The sequence below is a fragment of the Homo sapiens genome, chromosome 11, assembly GCF_000001405.40.
Source record: "Homo sapiens chromosome 11, GRCh38.p14 Primary Assembly".
In the NCBI taxonomy this organism is placed as follows: Eukaryota; Metazoa; Chordata; class Mammalia; order Primates; family Hominidae; genus Homo; species Homo sapiens.
The window spans coordinates 11,814,555-11,834,105 of NC_000011.10; the positions used below are offsets into that span (position 1 = coordinate 11,814,555).

The 19,551-nt window shown below is 39.1% G+C and overlaps 1 long non-coding RNA gene across 1 annotated transcript in view; it reads right to left on the reverse strand.

The window, feature by feature from the left end:
* The window catches only part of LOC107984311 (uncharacterized), a 27,287-nt gene continuing 7,736 nt past the window's right edge, over window positions 1-19,551 (reverse strand). Inside the window, exons 3-4 of the long non-coding RNA XR_001748134.3 lie at window positions 11,818-11,948; window positions 1-871 (exon numbers count right to left, since the gene is read on the reverse strand). This is a non-coding gene — a long non-coding RNA (uncharacterized LOC107984311). The remainder of the gene's footprint in view (window positions 872-11,817; window positions 11,949-19,551) is intronic.

A 19,551-nucleotide genomic window follows, 5' to 3' on the forward strand; every position in this document is an offset into this window, starting at 1 on the left:
TTGTCTACTTGTTTAGTTCTACTTTACCTGGGGGTCGGGGGGTTGGGCTAACAAAAAGGGACAAATGAAAACAGGGTAGACGGCAACAATTCCACTAATAAGGACCACGTTAGTTACTGGGATGGGGCTGGGGATCAGAGCTCCTTGGTACTAAGGCCCAGAGGGAAACTTCATAACCAGATGTAACTGTCATCAGAAAGGGGAAAATGTGGGAGGTCCTTCAGGAAAACAAACTATTGAAGTTTAGAAGCCTGTTAAAGTTTAATCATGTCCCATTCTCTTTGGCCATTAGACTGTGGTACCTTAGTGACACTTTGTTATAGACTGAATTGTAGCCCATCAAAATGAGTATGTAAAAGCCCTAACTCACGATGTGACTGTTTCTGGGATAAGGCCTTTAGGAGGGAAATAAAGTTAAATGAGGTCACAAGCATGGGGCCCTAAGTTGAAAGGACGATGGCCTTATAAGATAAGGAAGAGAGAACTGTCTCTCTTCCTCTTGTATCCCGCCCCAGAAATGGCCCCCTCTTGTGAACACACAGCCAGAAGGCAGCCATCGGCAAGCCAGGAAGACAGCCCTCACTAGAACTTGACCATGCTGGCACCTTGAGCCTATACTTCTAGCCTCCAGAACTGTGAGAAAATAAATTTCTGTTGTTTAAGCCACCCAGTATGTGGTATTTTGTTATGGCAGCTGAGCAAACTAATGCACGCTTAGACATAATCCATGCAGTCACCCTTAAGACATGAGTACACTGTACAGTCAGATGTCAGGCAAACTGGGTCTGCTGCTGGCACTCTATTTCCTTCCATGGCTTGTCAATGTAGATGACAGCAGGATCTGGTTAGGTGTCTTTACCTGTCCTATAAACTGCAAGATAATAATAAACACATAAATAAACAAGACTCTTCCTTTATGTCACACAGTAAAGTCACAAGTTCTCTTTAACAAGCTATACGGTGAGCCTATTAAATCAGTTTGTTTTTAACAAATAAAAAAGATGGGGTGTCTTACACAGATGCACAATAATAGGAGGCTGATAAATTATGATGCTTTGACTACATCACTATAAACTTTGCTTTAGGAAATTTTGAAAAATATATGCGATATAATATTAAGTAAAAAGTTAAAGAAGACATTCTGTGATTACCATGACTTAAAAACTATAAAGATAATGTAAAAATGAAAATAATTCTAATACATGGTTGAAATGCAAATCAATTTTTCCCTACATTTTGATTTTGTGCATGTTGCAAAATGTTCTTTTTTATTATTTACAATTTAAAAAAATAAATTCAAAAGCACCTGTGGGTATCTTCTGTGGAGAACTGTCTTTTACTGTCAAATTGACGGTGCCTTTTATTAGTTATTGAAAATTCCAATTGTAATTAAAGTTTCATTTGATTGCTAGTACTGTCATCTTAAATACACAGAGTCAAAATTGACTAAATCAAGCCGACCAAATGTTTCAATTTTAATGAGATCTGAAAGTTCTAATTTAGCAAAATACCTTCAAAAGACTTGCTCAAGTTGAATATTGTGGTAATTAGATATATTCATCTCACTATAAACATCAAGATTGTCCAATGCAAGATAAAAAGGAGATGGTATTCTTTTAAAAAAAAAATAAAATAAAAAGGAAAGTATTCAACCCTCACGAAAACTGGATCTTGATTGCTAGGTATGAGTGGATAACAAAGGCCTCAACATTGATTCATTCATTTATTCAATTCACATTCACTAATCACTTAAAGGACAGTGATTTAAGGCACAGGCTGGAGAGCCGGATTGTCTGGGTTTAAATATCTACTGCATCACTTACTAGAGTTCTGATCCTGTGTATTAGTCAGGATGAGTTAGGTTTGCTATGATAACATATCAAAACCCAAATCTCAGTGGCTTAAAACATCAAGGTTTATTTCCTACTCGTGCTACATGTTCATGTGGAGGAGAGGGAGCTCTGCTCCACAGAATCACTCAGGAATCCAGGATTATGGAGACTCTAATGTCTTGCAACTACATATGTACTTCAACTCTTTTGAGCACTGGAGGGTCTCATATCAGCAGTTAAATGCTAAGGCAGAAAAGTGGCCCATAGCACAGAAGTGACACATATCAATTCTACTCATAGCTTATTGACCATTACTAGTCACAAGGCCACCTAACTGCAAGAGGGTAGGAAAGTGATCCTCCCACATGCCTGGAAATAGAGGAGACCCAGGGGAGGGTGAGCACTAAAAGCCTCTATGGCATCTCAAGCAAATTACTTAATCTCTTTGTGGCTCTATTTCTTCATCTGTAGAGTGAAGATAACAATAGTGTCTATCTGATAGTGTTATTGTAAGGATTAAGTTATTATGCATAGAGCACTCTGAACTAAGGGCTAAGCAGTTGGGACAAAAAGAGGAATTAGATAGGTCTGTCCTCCTTGGAAGTTTACATATTAGTGGAGAACATAAACATACATCATAATTCAACAGGAAATCTGATTATTATCACTTGGGAAACTGCCTTAGTTCTGATTCTCCAGTAACACAGAAAGGCAGAGCAGCATGGGAAAGTGGAACACATTAATTTGCAAACAATGGAGTTGGGCAAATGTTGATTTGACTCTTGGCTCTGCCGCTTACTGGCTATGACTTAGACAAGTAACTTAATCTTTCTAAGCCTCAGTATCATTCTCTGTAAAAAAGTGAACTTAAAAACATTCACCTGTGGTTAATTACGAGGATTAAATGTGAATCAGGTACAATATGAAACATGTAGTTCAATCAACAGGGCTACTGTTTTGAATATACTATTAAGCACTCTAGACAGAAACCATTTCTGCTGTTTTATTTATTTCAAGTCAATAAACATGCATAGAGCCCCTCTGTGTCTACCCAGACTTACTGGGGAATATGAATTTAGCTAGTTTTTCTTATTGAGGTCACATCAGTTTAAAACAAGAAAAATAAAAAGAAAACCAAACACAACACACAAAAACCTACATGATCCAGAACAATGCAGTTTTTAATCTAACCCTCCCCATCTTCCTGCTTCTCTTCTCTCCAAAATCCAGCCCTACCAAGACTCTTCACAATTATTTTGCAAGTCCCCAAAGAGCACCTCATGATTTCCTCAAAAACTAGTTCTCTTTGCTTCTGCCTTCAGCTTCCTGCACTGAGCCACGCCAGAGGGCTCTTCAGCTCCCAGTAGCTCCACAGCCCCAGAAGGTATTGCAGTTGCCGCTCACAGAAATGTGTGAGATGGGCTGGGTGTGGTGGCTCACACCTGTAATCCCAGCACTTCAGGAGGCTGAGGCGGGTGGATCACTTGAGGTCAGGAGTTCGAGACCAGCCTGGCCAATATGGTGAAACCCCGTCTCTACTAAAAAATACAAAAATTAGCCGGGCATGGTGGGGGTGCGCCTGTAGACCCAGCTACGTGGGAGGCTGAGACAGGAGAATTGCTTGAACCCGGGAGGCGGAGATTGCAGATTGCGCCACTGCACTCCAGCCTGGGTGACAGAGAGAGACTCTGTTTCAAAAAAAAAAAAAAGAAAGAAATGTGTGATGTGGTCCTGATGGGAAGATGGGATGCTCTGTTATAAATGTGCTGACATGGACATCTTTTAATTAACTTTTAATTTATCAATCTTTTATTTTGCATAATTGTGCAGATGTTAGCACAGTCAGAATGAGTATTCACTTTAGCCAAAAGCTAACTTGCAAATACCCAACCAGATGACCCCACTTGTATTACAGGTTTGAAAAAAAAAAAAAAACAAACTTCTAACACCAAAAAAAGATAAACAGCTGGTATTTTCCTTTAATGTGAATTTCTAATAAATAGTTACCCATGTGCTGATGCGTGATGTAATCCCAAATATCCTATGGCCAATCAGTAAACATACAGCAATCATTTTCAACATAGCTATAAATTAACAATAATTAACTTTATTGAAATATTTTCAAGAGAAATAGAATAAAGCTTCATAAGCCACTATCCTGGGTATGACACTTAAGAAGCCAAGAACACAAGAGGAGCTTGAGCCAAAACGTTCTCCCTCTCTAGTCCATTTAACTTCTCATAACTAGTAGGAGCTCAGGGAGGGGTATTTATGCCCTCCCCTTGCTCTATCTCTGGGCACTGTGACTACCAGAAACCCATATGTGGCTTTGTTCTGAAACCCAGAGACACCTCTTCCACAGTACAATGCTGCTAGAGGGAAGAGTCGTCAGCCTTTGGTTGAAGCTCAGCTGCTTAAGGCACCCCTTCCCTACCCATGTACCTTGCCTCAGGCTTTCTCCCTGCTCCTGCCCCTAGAAGCCTGGAGTGTCTGCTTCTCTGCCTCTCTTGTCTCAGTCAAGTCCACAGTCTTTCTCCTTCCTCTCTCCCTGACAGGCAGCATGGAGGACTCCCCAGAGGAGGTGAGCCTCAGTGGACCCTGCTAGGGTGAGGCTGTGTCTTCTTCAGCTGGGGACCAGGTCCTTCAACCAACCAAGTTACCTGATCTAGGGCATTCTCTGCTTCCTTTCTGTTCTAGCAAGACATGTCTAGTTAGAGCTGCATATTTTTTCCCTTGACCTCTTTTCTGAGAAGTACGAAGTGTGTGTGTGTGTGTGTGTGTGTGTGTGTGTGTATGTGTGTGTGTGTGTGTATTTTAGAGCAATGTCTAGTCCTGTTTCTCAATATGTATTTATACTATGTTCAACTATATGTTCAATTATTCATTTTATAATTAAATTTTCCTCATTGTGAGACACAATCTTTCATTTACAAAATTATTCTTGTATTATTTATTCATTCAAACAGATATTTATTCCCGCCAATGCTGTGATAGTGATAAATACGGCATTTCTTAAAGAACTTACATTCTACTGGGGTAGACAAATATTGAACAACCAATAACATAAGTACTGAATTACAGTTTTGTTAAGTGCTAAAAAGGAGGAAAATAGATTGTTAAGAGAGAATATGACAAGGCCTGACTACATCCCGAGAGAAAGACTTCTTTGAAAAAGCGTGATTGAGCAGAACTCTGAGGGTAAGTAGAAAATAACTGGGCAGGTCAGGTGCGGTGGCTCACAACTGTAATCGCAGCACTTTGGGAGGATAACTCGAGGCCAGGAATTCAATACCAGCCTGGGCAACATAACAAGATCCTATCTTTAAAAAAAAAAAAAAGCAAGATATGATGACATGCACCTGTAGTCCTAGCTACTCGAGAGGCTGAGTGGGGAGGATCACTTGATCCCAGAAGTTAAAGGCTGCAGTGAGCTATAATTGCACCACTGCACTCCAGCATAGATAACAGAATGAGAACCTGTCTCAAAAAAATTATTTTTAAAAGGAAAATAACTAGGCAAAGAAGGTGTGTGGAATGGGAGAAAGTGCCATAGTAGAGAGCATTCCAGGAAGCTGAAAAAACATGTGCAAAAGCCCTGGGGAAGGGAAAAGCCTACTGGCTCACACCTGTAATCCCAACACTTCAGGAGGTCAAGGTGGGAGAATCACTTGAACCCAGGAGTTTGAGACAAGCCTGGGCAATACAGGGAGACCTCATTTCTTAAAAAAAAAAAATTAAGTATTCAGGTGTGGTGGTACACACCTGTGGTCCCAGCTACTCAGGAGGCTGAGGCAGGAGGATCACTTAAGCCTGGAAGGTCAAGGCTGCAGTGAGCCTTGATGAGTCCATTGCACTCCAGCTTGGGTGACAGAGCAAGACCTGTCTTAAAACAAAAAGGACAATGCCCAAGAGAAAGCTAGTGAGCAGGCAGGAGCCATATCATGAGGAGTTTTCTCGGCCATGTTAAAGACTTTGGTCTTTACCTTATGAGCTATGAGGAAGTATTCAGAGATGTTTAAGCAAAAAAGTTACATGAAATGTTTTTTAAAAGATTATTCTAACTGCTGTGTGGGAAAGATATTAAAGAGAGTAGAGGTAAGAAGTTATTTCATTAGCCTTTTACAAAAATTTTTATTCAGAGACAGGGTCTCACTACATTGTCCAAGCTGAAGTGCAGTGACTATTCATAGACACAGTCATAGCTCACCGCAGCCTTGAGCTCCCAGGCTCAAGCAATCCTCCCACTTCAGCCTCCCAAGTAGCTGGGACTATAGGCACCCATCTCCCCATTTGGCTATTTCATTCATCTTAATGAGAGATGATAGTGGGTTGGCCTAGCTTGTAACAGTGGAGATGGAAAAACCTGGGAAGTTTTGATATATATTTAGGAGCTAGAATTGCCAAACAACTAAGTCCTAAAAAGTCAAACAATTAGATATGAATTTAAGTTTTTCAAAAAATAGGAAAAACAACTAAGTAAGAATCATGGAATTCCCTATTTATTGCCCTATTTTAGAAAGGGTGACAGAGAAATATTCTTTGAGATAATGACATTTATGTAGGACTAAGGTGTGTCATGGCAGGTCAAATTCATGCCTAAAACCTAAACCAAAAATTCTAAGTTATTGGAGATACACAGACACACACACACATTATATATTTTATATGAAACATAAGTTTATAGATCACACATTCATTTCACATATATTTATATAAAATTTGAATACATGTTCATATAATATTTGTGAATATATGGGTATTCAAATTATGTCCTTAAGAACAACGAAGAACTGTGAAATGTTCAGGTCATATTTCTGTTTAATTTTTTTACACAGATTGGTTAATTATTAGCCTGGTTTATTTGCTTGGAAAACAAATTGAAATAGAGAATGTGTTTGTATTATGTAATTTAAATTTTACCTACAGATATAATGCTACTTTTTTGTTTGTCTTCATTCTTGAGAGAAGAGGGACTCATCACAATGGAAACTATTGGTTTTAGGTGAAGCCAAACACAGAACACAGCAGCTGGACATAAAAATCTTTAGTTGTCTTAATTTTCTTCAACCTTCTGGAATCAGATTAATTTCTGGCTCTCAAGAAGGTCTAAATAACAAAAGATGAGTTGTGGCCATCTGGTACTTTTGGGGAGGTGCTATTGGATTATGAAGAAAAATCAAGGGCTAGGAGTTAAGAAATATAAATTCTAACTCCAGTTCTATACCTGGCCTCTTGGATTGCCTTGAGTTGATGTCTTAGACCATTTTTGCTACAATAACAGTACATTTGAGACTAGGTAACTTATAAGGAATAGAAATGCATTGGCTCATGGTTGTAAAGCCTGGGAAGTCCAAGATCAAGGAGGTGGTGCTTTGTGAGGGCCTTCTTCCTGCACCATCCTATGGCAGAAGGTCAAAGAAAGGGGGAGAGAGAGACAAAATGGGATCAAACTCATCCTTTTATAAGAAACCCACTCCTGCAATAACAGCATTCATTCATTCATGAAGACAGAGCCTTCGTGGCCTAATAGTCTCTTAAAGTTCCCACCTGTTAGTATTGTTACAATGGCAATTAATTTCAACATGAGTTGAGAAGGGGACAAACATTCAAACCATAGCAGGTGATTACTTGGCCTCTCTGTGCTTCAGTTTTTCACTATGGAATTTGGACTAGATTAAGTCTTGGGTCCCTGTAATACTCATTCTATGATTCAAAGAGGAAGTATGAAGCCTCCTCCCCAACATTTCACATACACAGTTCTTTAATCATTCACTAATAATGTTAACGAATGAGAAGTTACTATGTGTCCAGCATTATTGCGGGCATGAGGCACAGTGGTGAAGAAAAACAGACAAAAAAACCTCATAGAATTTATATTCTAGTGTCTATAGAGGCTGTATACAAATCCTGGGTCATTAATAATAGTATCTTTAATAAACAGTTTAAAGAAGATCTTTGTTTATTTAACATTTAATAGGCCAGGAACGGTGGCTCACACCTGTAATCCTAGCACTTTGGGAGGCCAAAGCAGGCGGATGACCTGAGCTCAGGAATTCGAGACCAACCTGGGTAACACGGTGAAACCCCGTCTGCACTAAAATACAAAATAAATTAGCCAGGCGTGGCAGCATGCACCTGTAGTCCCAGCTACTCGGGAGGCTGAGGCAGGAGAATTGCTTAAACCTGGGAAGTGGAGGTTGCCGTGAGCTGAGATCGCGCCACTGGACTCCAGCCTTGGTGACAGAGCAAGACTCCGTCTCTACACACACACACACACACACACACAAACACACACACAATTTAATAAAGGAAAGTTTGTTCTTTCAATACTTATCCCAGGCACCACCTCCTACTTCCAGGAAATCTTTCCTCTGAAAATTTCTGTGTGTTATAGGATTTTGGGCTATACTATTTATTCATAAATTATATGTATATTTATATATTAACAGATATGAACAAATTATTCCTTTTGAAGCTGTATGTTGGTGTGGGTCATCTCTATCACAGACTATAAAATCATGGATTAAGTGACTACATACCTTCAGCACCCTTATCACAGTGCTGAGCCACAGTAGATGTTAAATTCATACTTGCCCAATGAATATATCTGAACTGTCGGAATATGTTGTATCTGAAAATCCAAGGCCTCACTGACTTGCATAGGAAGAGCCTTCAGAGCAAGATTATGTCTATAACTAATCTGATTCCTGGGCTTTTGCCAGGTTTCCTTTGCTCTACCTGCCCTTTCCTGCCCCTACATTTTTCTCGTATCCAAGGCTCAGTCTTGCTCAAGTCCTGCTTCTATAGCTATCAGCTGTCCGTGACAGGCTGCAGATCCGTTCTCAGCAGTGGATCCTCTAGCATGTGGGCTTCCAAAGTGGTGTGTACACATCACAGGGAATACCCTAGAAAGTCTACTGAGGTTCAAGAAGAAAATATTAGACTATATACATCTGCTAATATATATTTCTGCACAGATATATATACACATATTTGCATATATACACACAAATATATATACGAACACATACATAGGTATACATGCATGCATGTATGTATGTATACACATACATAAATACACATATGCATACACATAGCTGCACATACATATATACATGCATGTATATGCACACACATATACATATAAAAACATACATGCACATATATACACTTACATGCATACACATACATGTATAATATATACACACATGCATACATATACATGTACAGTCATGTACCACATAACACCATTTCAGTCAACAATTAACTACATATATGATGGTGGTCCCATAAAATTACAATACCATATTTCTAACATATCTTTCTATGTTTAGACATGTTTAGATACACAAATGTTTACCATGTGTTACAGCTACCTACAATATCCAGTACAGTAATATGCTGTACAGGTTTGTAGCCTAGGAGCAATGGGCTTGTATTAGTCCGTTTTCACACTGCTGATAAAAACATACCTGAGACTGGGGGAAATAAAAGAGGTTTAATTGGACTTATAGTTCCACATGGCTGGGGAAGCCTCAGAATCATGGCGGGAGGTGAAAGGCACTGCTTACATGGCAGCAGCAAGAGAAAATGAGGAAGATGCAAGAGTGGAAACCCCTGATAAAACCATCAGATCTCGTGAAACTTATTTACTACCACAAGAACAGTATAGGGAAAACCACCCCAATGATTCAAATTATCTCCTACTGGGTCCCTCTCACAACACATAGGAATTATGGGAATACAATTCAAGATGAGATTTGGGTGGGGACACAGAGCCAAACCATATCATCCCACCCCTGGCCCCTCCAAATCTCATGTCCTCACATTTCAAAACCAATCATGTCTTCCTAACAGTCCTTCAAAGTCTTAACTCATTTCAGTATTAATCCAAAAGTTCACAGTCCAAAGTCTCATCTGAGACAAGGCAAGTCCCTTCCACCTATGAGCCTGTAAAATCAGAAGCAAGCTAGTTACTTCCTAAATACACTGGGGGTACAGGTATTGGGTAAATACAGCCATTCCAAATGGAAGAAATTGGCCAAAACAAAGAGGTTACAGGGCCCATGCAAGTCTGAAATCCAGCAGGGCAGTCAAATTTTAAAGCTCCAGTGTGATCTCCTTTGACTCCACATCTCACATCCAGGTGACACTGATGCAAGAAGTGGGTTCCCATGGTCTTGGGCAGCTCCACCCCTGTGGTTTTGCAGACTACAGTCTCTCTCCCAGCTGCTTTCACAGGCTGGCATTGAACATCTGTGGCTTTTCCAGGCTCATAGTGCAAGCTGTAGGTAGATCTACAATTCTGGGGTCTGGAGGATGGTGGCCCTCATCTCACAGCTCCACTGGGCAGTGCCCCAGTAGGGACTCTGTGTGGGGGCTCCAACCCTGCATCTCCCTTCTGCACTGCCCTAGCAGAGATTCTCTATGAGAATCTATGAGATTCCCACCCCTGCAGCAAACTTCTGCCTGGACATCCAGGTGTTTCCATACATCTTCTGAAATCTATGCAGAGGTTCCCAAACTCCAATTCTTGATTTACGTGCACCCACAGGCTCAACGCCACATGGAAGACCCCAAGGCTTGGGGTTTGAACCCTCTGAACCCATGGCCCAAGCTCTATGTTGGCCCCTTTTAGCCACAGCTGGAGTGGCTGGGACGCAGGGCACCAAGTCCCTATGCTGCACACAGCACGGGGACCCTGGGCCCTGCCCATGAAACCATTTTTCCTCCTAGACCTCTGGGTCTGTGATGGGAGAGGCTGTCACAAAGGTCTCTAACATGCCCTGGAGATATTTTCCCCATTGTCTTCGGGAATAACATTCAGCTCCTCATTACTTATGCAAATATCTGCAGCAGCTTGAATTTCTCCTCAGAAAATAAGACGTTCTTTTCTTTCGCATTGTCAGCCTGCAAATTTTCCCAACTTTTATGCTCTGCTTCCCTTTTAAAACTGAAGCCTTTAACAGTACCCATGTCACCTCTTGAATGCTTTGCTGCTTAGAAATTTCTCCCACCAGATACCCTAAATCATCTCTCTCAAATTCAAGGTTCCACAAATCTCTAGGACAGGGGCAAAATGCCACCAACCTCTTTGCTAAAACATAACAAGAGCCACCTTTGCTCCCATTCCCAACAAGTTCTTCTTCTCTATCTCAGATCACCTCAGCCTAGATTTCATTGTCCATATCATTATCAATATTTTTATCAAAGCCATTCAACAAGTCTCTAGGAAGTTCCAGACTTTCCCATATTTTTCTGTCTTCTTCTGAGCCCTCCAAACTCTTCCACCCTCTGCCCGTAATCCAGTTTTAAAGTCGCTTCCACATTTTCAGGTATCTTTTCAGCAACGCCCTCTTCCCGGTACCAATTTACTGTATTAGTTTTCACATTGCTGATAAAAACATACCCGAGACTTGGAAGAAAAAGAGGTTTAATTGGACTTACAGTTCCATATGGCTGGGGAGGCCTCAGAATCATGGCGGGAGGCAAAAGGCACTTCGTACATGGTGGCAGCAAGAGAAAATGAGGAAGATGCAAAAGCAGAAACCCCTGATAAAACCATCAGATCTCATGAGACTTATTCACTACCATGAGAACAGTATGGGCAAAACTGCCCCCATGATTCAAATTTTCTCCCACAAGGTCCCTCCCACAACACGCGGGAATTATGAGAGTACAATTCAAGATGAGATTTGGGTGGGGACACAGAGCCAAATCATATCAGGGCTATACCAAATAGCCTAGGTGTATGGTAGGTTTACTAGGTGTATCATCTAAGCTTGTGTAAGTACACTCCATGATGTTCACATAATGACAAAATTACCTAATCATTTCTCAAAACGTATAGCCATCATTAAAAAAGGCATGTCTGTATATATACACACACAAATATACATGTATACATATGTATGTCCATATGTATATATACATACACATATATATTTACTTGTTACCAATAAAAGAAAAAGAAAAATGTACTAACCTTTTATGTGTGGATTGACATCAGCTCCCCCACTTGGCATGCATGTCTCATGATCTCTTGGTGTACACTGTACCCAGGTCACCTGGGACGAAGTGGTGGAGAGGAGCTCTCACAGCAAAGAGGTGGGGTCACTGAGGGTTCAGTGAGGCAGAGTTATAGATTACATAATCTGGTTTTAACTAATTTGCCCTCAAAAAATAGAAAAGTAACTTTAAAAGATTTTTACAAAAAAAAAACCACTGCAGCATTAAATATATATTAAATATATTAAATATAATGCCAATAATATCAAATGTAGTCAACACTTGATCAGTATGGATTTGAACCACATGGAACCATGTACAGGTGGATTTTCTTCCGCTTTTGCCACTCTGGAAACAGCAAGATCAACCCAACCTCTTCTCTTCCTTGGCCTACTCAAGGTGAAGACGAAGAGGATGAACACCTTAATAATGATCCATTTCCACTTAGTGAACTGTGAATATATTTTCTCTTTGTTATCATTTTCTGAATAACACTTTCTTTTCTATAGCTCTAGTAATAAAGTAATATAGTATGCATGCAGTATATAATACATTTAACATATATAATATGTGTTAATCAACTGCTTATTTATCTGGAAGGCTTCAGTCAACAGTAGGCTATTAGCAGTCAAGTTTTGGGGGACTCAAAAGTTATACCCAAATTTTTGACTGGGGAGGGGAAGGGGGAGCTAAACTCTACCTTGTTCAAGGATCAATTATATTTATGTGGCATTTAGTACAAGCCAGACACTGGCCTAAGTGTTTCATCTCTATTAACTTAGTTAATCCATGCAAAAACCCTGTGAGGAAAGTACTGTTTTAATTCCCATTTTAAACATGAGGAAACTGGGGCGTAGACAGCTTAACGATGTTGCTAGTCAATGGCAGGGCTGCAATGCAACCCAGGCAATTTCTCTCTGGGGTCAGTGGCCTTAACCACAACATGATGCTGCTTGTAAACACAAGGAGACGAGAAAATGGCAGAGCGAACATTCCTCTTCCTCTTGGTACAATACCTCAGCTGCCATCTTAGGAAGCTAAAGCTGTGACAGTGTTGTCAAGTCTGACAAGTGTGTCAGTAAAACAAAGCGTTGTGAAACGATCAAGAAGATATTGAAATATGGATTTGCAATCACTATATTTATTTAGACAGGTTCTTGCTCTGTCACTCAGGCTGGAGTGTAGTGGTGCTCACTGTAGCCTTGACGCCCCGAGTGCAAGCCACCCTCCAACCTCAGCCTCTCAAGTAGTTCGGACTATAGGCACATGCCACCATGCCCAGCTATTTATTTTTATTTTATGTTTTCGTAGAGACAGAAGTCTTCCTATGTTGCCCAGGCTGATCTCCAACACCTGAGCTAGAGCAAGCCTCCCACCTCAGCCTCCCAAAGTGCTGGGATTACAGGTGTGAGCCGTTGCACCTGGCCACCCGTGTCTTTAATGATGAACTTTGCTCTAAGTTGTTAAGTCTCAGGACATTAGCCAACAATAGTAAGACATGTATTGAGTTTATAAATAAATTAATCAATATATATTAGTGATTTATGAAATAAACATCTGGTCAAAAATAATTGGAGAACACTGCCCCCAAAATTAACAGCTAAACAACTTTCTGTGGTAGTCCAGAAGCTTACACTTCAAAATGCTTATTGTAGTTACTTTCTGGAAAATGAGTTTGTGTGTTGAAAACAGTTTTAAGATTCAAATTCCACTTATTACATGTAGACTTAAATAATACTGAATTTTCCCAAACTACTATAAAACATTTTATAAAGACAAAATTTATTTCTAATAGATTTCTCTACTAATAACCAAAAAATGTGTAAGTTCTCAGCATGACATTTGTAATTCTCTTCTCCAGGATTCCCGCGTTGCTTTTGCCTGCCAGGAATGTCTTCACACTTGTGTGTCTATTGGGACGATCAGCACTCAGTTTAGTCTTGGCCATTACATGAAGCATACGACCCATACTGGGCCAATCATAGGTAAAGGGGACCTTTTTTTCTCTCTCTCAAACATTTGACCAATCATCTTGAGGTTCAATTGTCATGTTCACATATAATCCATTTCTCTACACTCAGGTTTATATGTGCACATCTATTATTCTATCTTTCCATCATGCTTGTTTGTTTTAGTCATAGCTAGGGCTTCTGTGTGTGATTGTTCAAGCTGTGCAATGCACGCAGATGCCTGGCTAAGGGTGAGTGAAGGTTCAAGTCTAGCCCAAGCTGTGCTCAAACAGCTGTGAGTTCTGGAGTGCCTTCCCCAATTTTCATGTTGGCTAGCGCTGTTCTAACTAAATTGTGAGCTTCCTGAGAGTAGAGAACATTCTTAGTCGTCTGTTTGACATAGTTCCTGGCAACACGCCTTGTCAGAAGACTCTTAATAAATATCTGTTGAATTGAATTTCAGAGTACATTTTCCGACATAAATTCTGACATGCTCCATCATTTTTAATCTCCTTTATTCAATTATGCAGGCAATAAGTCACCAAACTGACTTTATGCTCTCTTAAGCATCTATCACAATGTCAAACACCTTAGAGATATTTAATGGAGATTAATGTATTATGATAAATGACTATTGCTCATTTTCTGTTCTTTCCATCACATTTTCTGATCTATTTTTATGGTCTACCTTCTAAATTTTATTTATTATATTTTATCTTCCAAAGAATCTTGTATGATTGTAGTGCTCACACACATAATAAATTTTGAAGTTTTTGTGGTTAAATCAACTGAGACTTTGAGTCTGGCTAGGAATTTATGATTCCTCATAAGCAACAGGGCCATGTATACGACAAGAATCCAATCTAAGTGTTGATTATGGGCAACAATGGTGATGATAATTAGGTTTAAAAGCCTATGCTCTGCCAACACATTAGAAAATTAGATAACATTTCTGAAATATTTTTAAACAAAAGATGACCTAATTATCTGTACCTGTAGAAAATTTTATCAACAGTTAGCATCTAAGTATCATTTTCAATTTTTTCTACCAGAGGACTCATGTAAAAAGATAAGATGATACTCCTTTACTTGCATGTTTTGGTCCATGAAAGACTTTGACAAGTTTAGGTGGCATTATGCAAAAACACTACCTGCTCTATCAGATGAAGACAGAGGAAGAAGAAAGGGATAGCAACTGCTAATTACCTTCTTAAAGAAAATGTTCAGCCGGGCGCAGTGGCTCATGCCTGTAATCCCAGCACTTTGGGAGGCCAAGGCGGGTGGATCACCTGAGGTTGGGAGTTCAAGACTAGTCTGACCAACATGGAGAAACCCCGTCTCTACCAAAAATACAAAATTAGCTGGGTGTGGTGGCGCATGCCTGTAATCCCAGCTACTAGGGAGGCTGAGGCAGGAGAATCGCCTGAACCCGGGAGGCGGAGGTTGCAGTGAGCTGAGATCACGCCATTGCCCTCCAGCCTGGACAACAAGAGCAAAACTCTGTCTCAAAAAAAAAAAGAAAGAAAGAAAATGTTCACTTTTAGGGAAGGAGATTGTTAGTCTTCCAGAAAAGAAACTACAAGAATTAAACAATTAGATCTCTTAAAAAATGATGAGGAAGTGGGATCATTTAGTCTAGTGAAAATCACCAAACAATTAGATGAGTAGAAACATTTAAAATTTAAAGAATCAAGCTACAGAGCCCATTGGCTAAAATTTTTAAAGAAAGATCTAGAGATTTCAGATCGTCCAACTCTGCTAAAGAGTGAAAATGATTAGCCATTACTTTCTTCCACTGTAGGTAGATTGCAGTTACCACATAACGAACCAGAAGGTTTAAAGATTGTATCTGTAGAAGCAACTGAGGCTTCACCTATGATGAAAGACTTTGGAGTCAGACTGCTTAGGTTTAAATCCCAGTTCCATTATTTATCTATTTGCCTTATGACTTTGGAAGTTACTTAACTTCTCTATTCCTGTTTCCTTGTCTGTAAAATTAGGATAATAATTGTTCCCAAATCATAAAGTTGTTATGGGGAGTAATAAGATAGAGTGTGTAAAATACTCCATACAGAGCCTGGACCATAGTTAAGAGTAAGTACTCTACAAAAACTTGTGTTTGTCATTAGAGATACAATAAAAAGTTATGAACCAAAGTGGCCAGTAAAAAAAATGAAAGTTTTTATATACTGAGCATCTATAATGTGTCAGTCATTATGTTAACCAGTTTTCATACATTATTTCTTTTAATTTGTTGTCTTCGAATTATTTTAAAAGAATTAAAAGAACACAGTATGATTTAATGTGAAAACGAAAAAGAGAAGATTCCAGCTGGGCACGGTGACTCACGCCTGTAATCCCAGCACTTTGGGAGGCCTAGGCAGTTGAATCACGTGAGGTCAGGAGTTCGAGACCAGCCTGGCCAACATGGTGAAACCCCGTCTCTACTAAAAATACAAAACTTAGCCAGGCGTGGTGGCATGTGCCTGTAATCCCAGTTACTCAGGAGGCTGCGGCAGGAGAATCACTTAAACCTGGGAGGTGGAGGTTGCAGTTAGCCGAGATCACACCACTGCACTCTGGCCTGGGTGACAGAGTGAGACTCTGGCTGAAAAAAAAAAAACAAAAAAAAGAAAAAAAAAAAAGAAAGAAAAAGAGAAGATTCTAACTAACTCTTTACTTCCACCGACATTGAGAACTTCCATTCCAGTGACTTAGAGATAATTACTACAAACTTTTCTGAGGAGAGGAGGAAGGGGGAGGAGCATATTCTTCTAGAGATTTCTATGCTTATACTGGTGTACATATTTATAACACCATCTTTCAGTACACAAATGCCATACATACAATCCTGCAAGTTTCTTTTTCTTATTTGTTATATCTTGATCTTCTATCTCACCTTTTTTAAATAAACTTTTCATTTTTGCATAATTTTGGATTTACAGTAGAGTTGCATATTAACATTTTACATAATCAAGGTGTGTCCGGAGTTGGTTCCTTCTGGTGAATTCTTGGTCTCGCTGACTTCACAAATGAAGCCATGGACCTTCACGGTGACTGTTACAGCTTTTAAAGGTGGCACAGTCCCAAAGAGTGAGCAGCAGCCAGATTTATTGTGAAGAACGAAAGAACAAAGCTTCCACAGTATGGAAGGTGACTCGCGGCTTGCCGCTTCTGGCTGGGGTGGCCAGCTTTTATTCCCTTATTTGTCCTCGCCCACGTCCTGCTGATTGGTTCATTTTACAGAGTGCTGATTGGTCCATTTTACAGAGTGCTGATTGGTGCATTTACAATCCTTTAGCTAGACACAGAGCACTGATTGGTGCATTTACAATCCTCTAGCTAGACAGAAAAGTTCTCCAAGTCCTCACTCGACCCAGGAAGTCCAGCTGGCTTCACCTCTCAAAGGTACTTTTGTCAAAAATAAGAAATTAACATTGGTACATTAATATTAACTAAAGTCTGACTTTGAATTTCACTAGTGTTTCACTAATGTTCTTTTTGTTCCAGGATCCAGTCTAAGACATCATGTTGCATTTAGTCCATAACAGTTTTTATTTTTCTACCTCATTCTATTTGAATAACTGCATAGTATTATATAGTATGAGTGTACCACAATTTACATGATCCTACTGACAAATATTTATATTATTTCTAGTTTTGCATTATTACAAACAATGCTATAATGAACATCAATACACATATGTCTTTGTACACTTGTACTGTAGGATTATCTTAGAATTGTTGGGTCAAAGAATAGGCACATTTGAAATTTTTTATATACATTGACATATTGCCTTTAAAATGTTTTTAATAACTCATATTCCACCAAATTCAAACAAGAGTTTTTATTTCCCCATAAATTTTGCTAATCTAAGAGTGAAATGTCATTTCATTGTTTTCATTTGCAGTTATTTAATTATGAGTACATTTGAGTATCTTTTCAGATATTTATTGGCAGTTTATATTTCATTTTTAATGAGGTGCTAACTTACCTTCTAAGCATGCTTCTCTTGGGTTGTTCATCTTTTCCTTATTGATTTATAAGCAGTCTTTTAAACTGAAAAAATTAGCCATTTGGCATATTTGTTGTGAATATTTTTCCAGATGATATTTTGTCTTTTGACTTTATTTATATTAATCTTTGCTATACATGAGTTAAAATTTTTTAATTACCATCTTTCCCTTTACACTTCTGGCTTTTATTTTGTTTCAAATCAATATTATTATAAAATATTCACCTTTGTATACATTATTTCTAATTCTCACAATGCTATCAAGTAATTATTACAACTCAGTCTTCACATTCTCAAGGAATATTGAGATCTCTTCAAATGACAAATTTATAAATATTACTCTACTTCAAAGACATTATGAAATCATTTCAGAAAGTTTAACACTGTGACTCCAACTTTATTTTGCTAGATTCCTTCCTATTCTTGCACCTTAAAATTTAGGCACTTGCAGACCGCAAAGAAAGTTGAGTGAATTGTGGTCAATTTATCTTTGGTTGCCTTAGGCGCTGATATTTGCCTCTCCTCCTTCAATATGTTTACCAAGGTATTTTCTGTTGATGTGAGCCTCTTTTTAATACTGTTGAATGCACTGACCTATTAACCTTTTCTTTATGAATTTCTTCAGCTTAGAAAGAGGCAAGCAAGCACTTCTGTGGCAATGATTTTTATCTTTATAAAATGTCAATAGAAAAATGCTACTTTAGGTCACAGAACCAATCTTTTTTTTGAGGTCACAGTGGGTTAAGAGCCCCACAAATGTCCTCACTCGCTTACCTCATGAAAATATTTATACAAATGTTCCTAGGTTTCTCCCAGATTACATTTTCCTGAGCATCATTTTTTCTATTCTCATCTTCACACCAAAAGTTAGTCATCTTTTCAATATTCAGTGGTTTTTAACTTAATTGATGAGCTTTTTTTCCTTAGTGGATGCACTCATTTAAATAGTTTCCCAAATTACTTTTTCTTGTTTCCTTATTGATGGTGTCTTTTCCATCATAAATATAAGCCATTGACTAATTTTACATCCCACTCTTTAACTTAGACAGAAGGCCTATTTTGTGGCTAAGATCCATCACTTTAATAATTTCTTCAATCTCATTACTAATAATTGAGTTTCTTTTCAGAGCCATTTTCCACAAAGAAAATTCATGGAAGAACTACATAAGTGGAGAAGAGTAGGCAGAAATGAGACTACGTCAAAGTGTAGTTGCCGTATGATTAACAAGACTTACTCACTAGCTAAGTGACTAGTTTATTTATTCAACATGAATTTAAAAGCACCTACTATATGCCAGGTACTGTGAGGGTTGTGCATTCCCTCATGAAACTCAGTCTATTGCTAGGATAATTATAGCCAGCATATATTGATTGCTTAGTATTTGTCAGGTAGTGTATGTTGAGTGCTTTAAACAGTTTATATGCATTTCCTCACTTGTAAGATGGGGATATTAGAAGTACTTATGCATAAAGTTGTTGAGAGAACTGAATAAAAAATATGTGCAAAGGGGCTGGGCGCAGTGGTTCACACCTGTAATCCCAGCACTTTGGGAGACCAAGGCAGGCGGATCACGAGATCAGGAGCTCGAGACCAGCCTGATCAACATGGTAAAACCCTGTCTCTACTAAAAATACAAAAATTAGCCGGACATGGTGGCGCGTGCCTGTAATCCCAGCTACTCAGGAGGCTGAGGCAGGAGAATCGCTTGAACCTGGGAGGCGGAGGTTGCAGTGAGCCGAGATTGT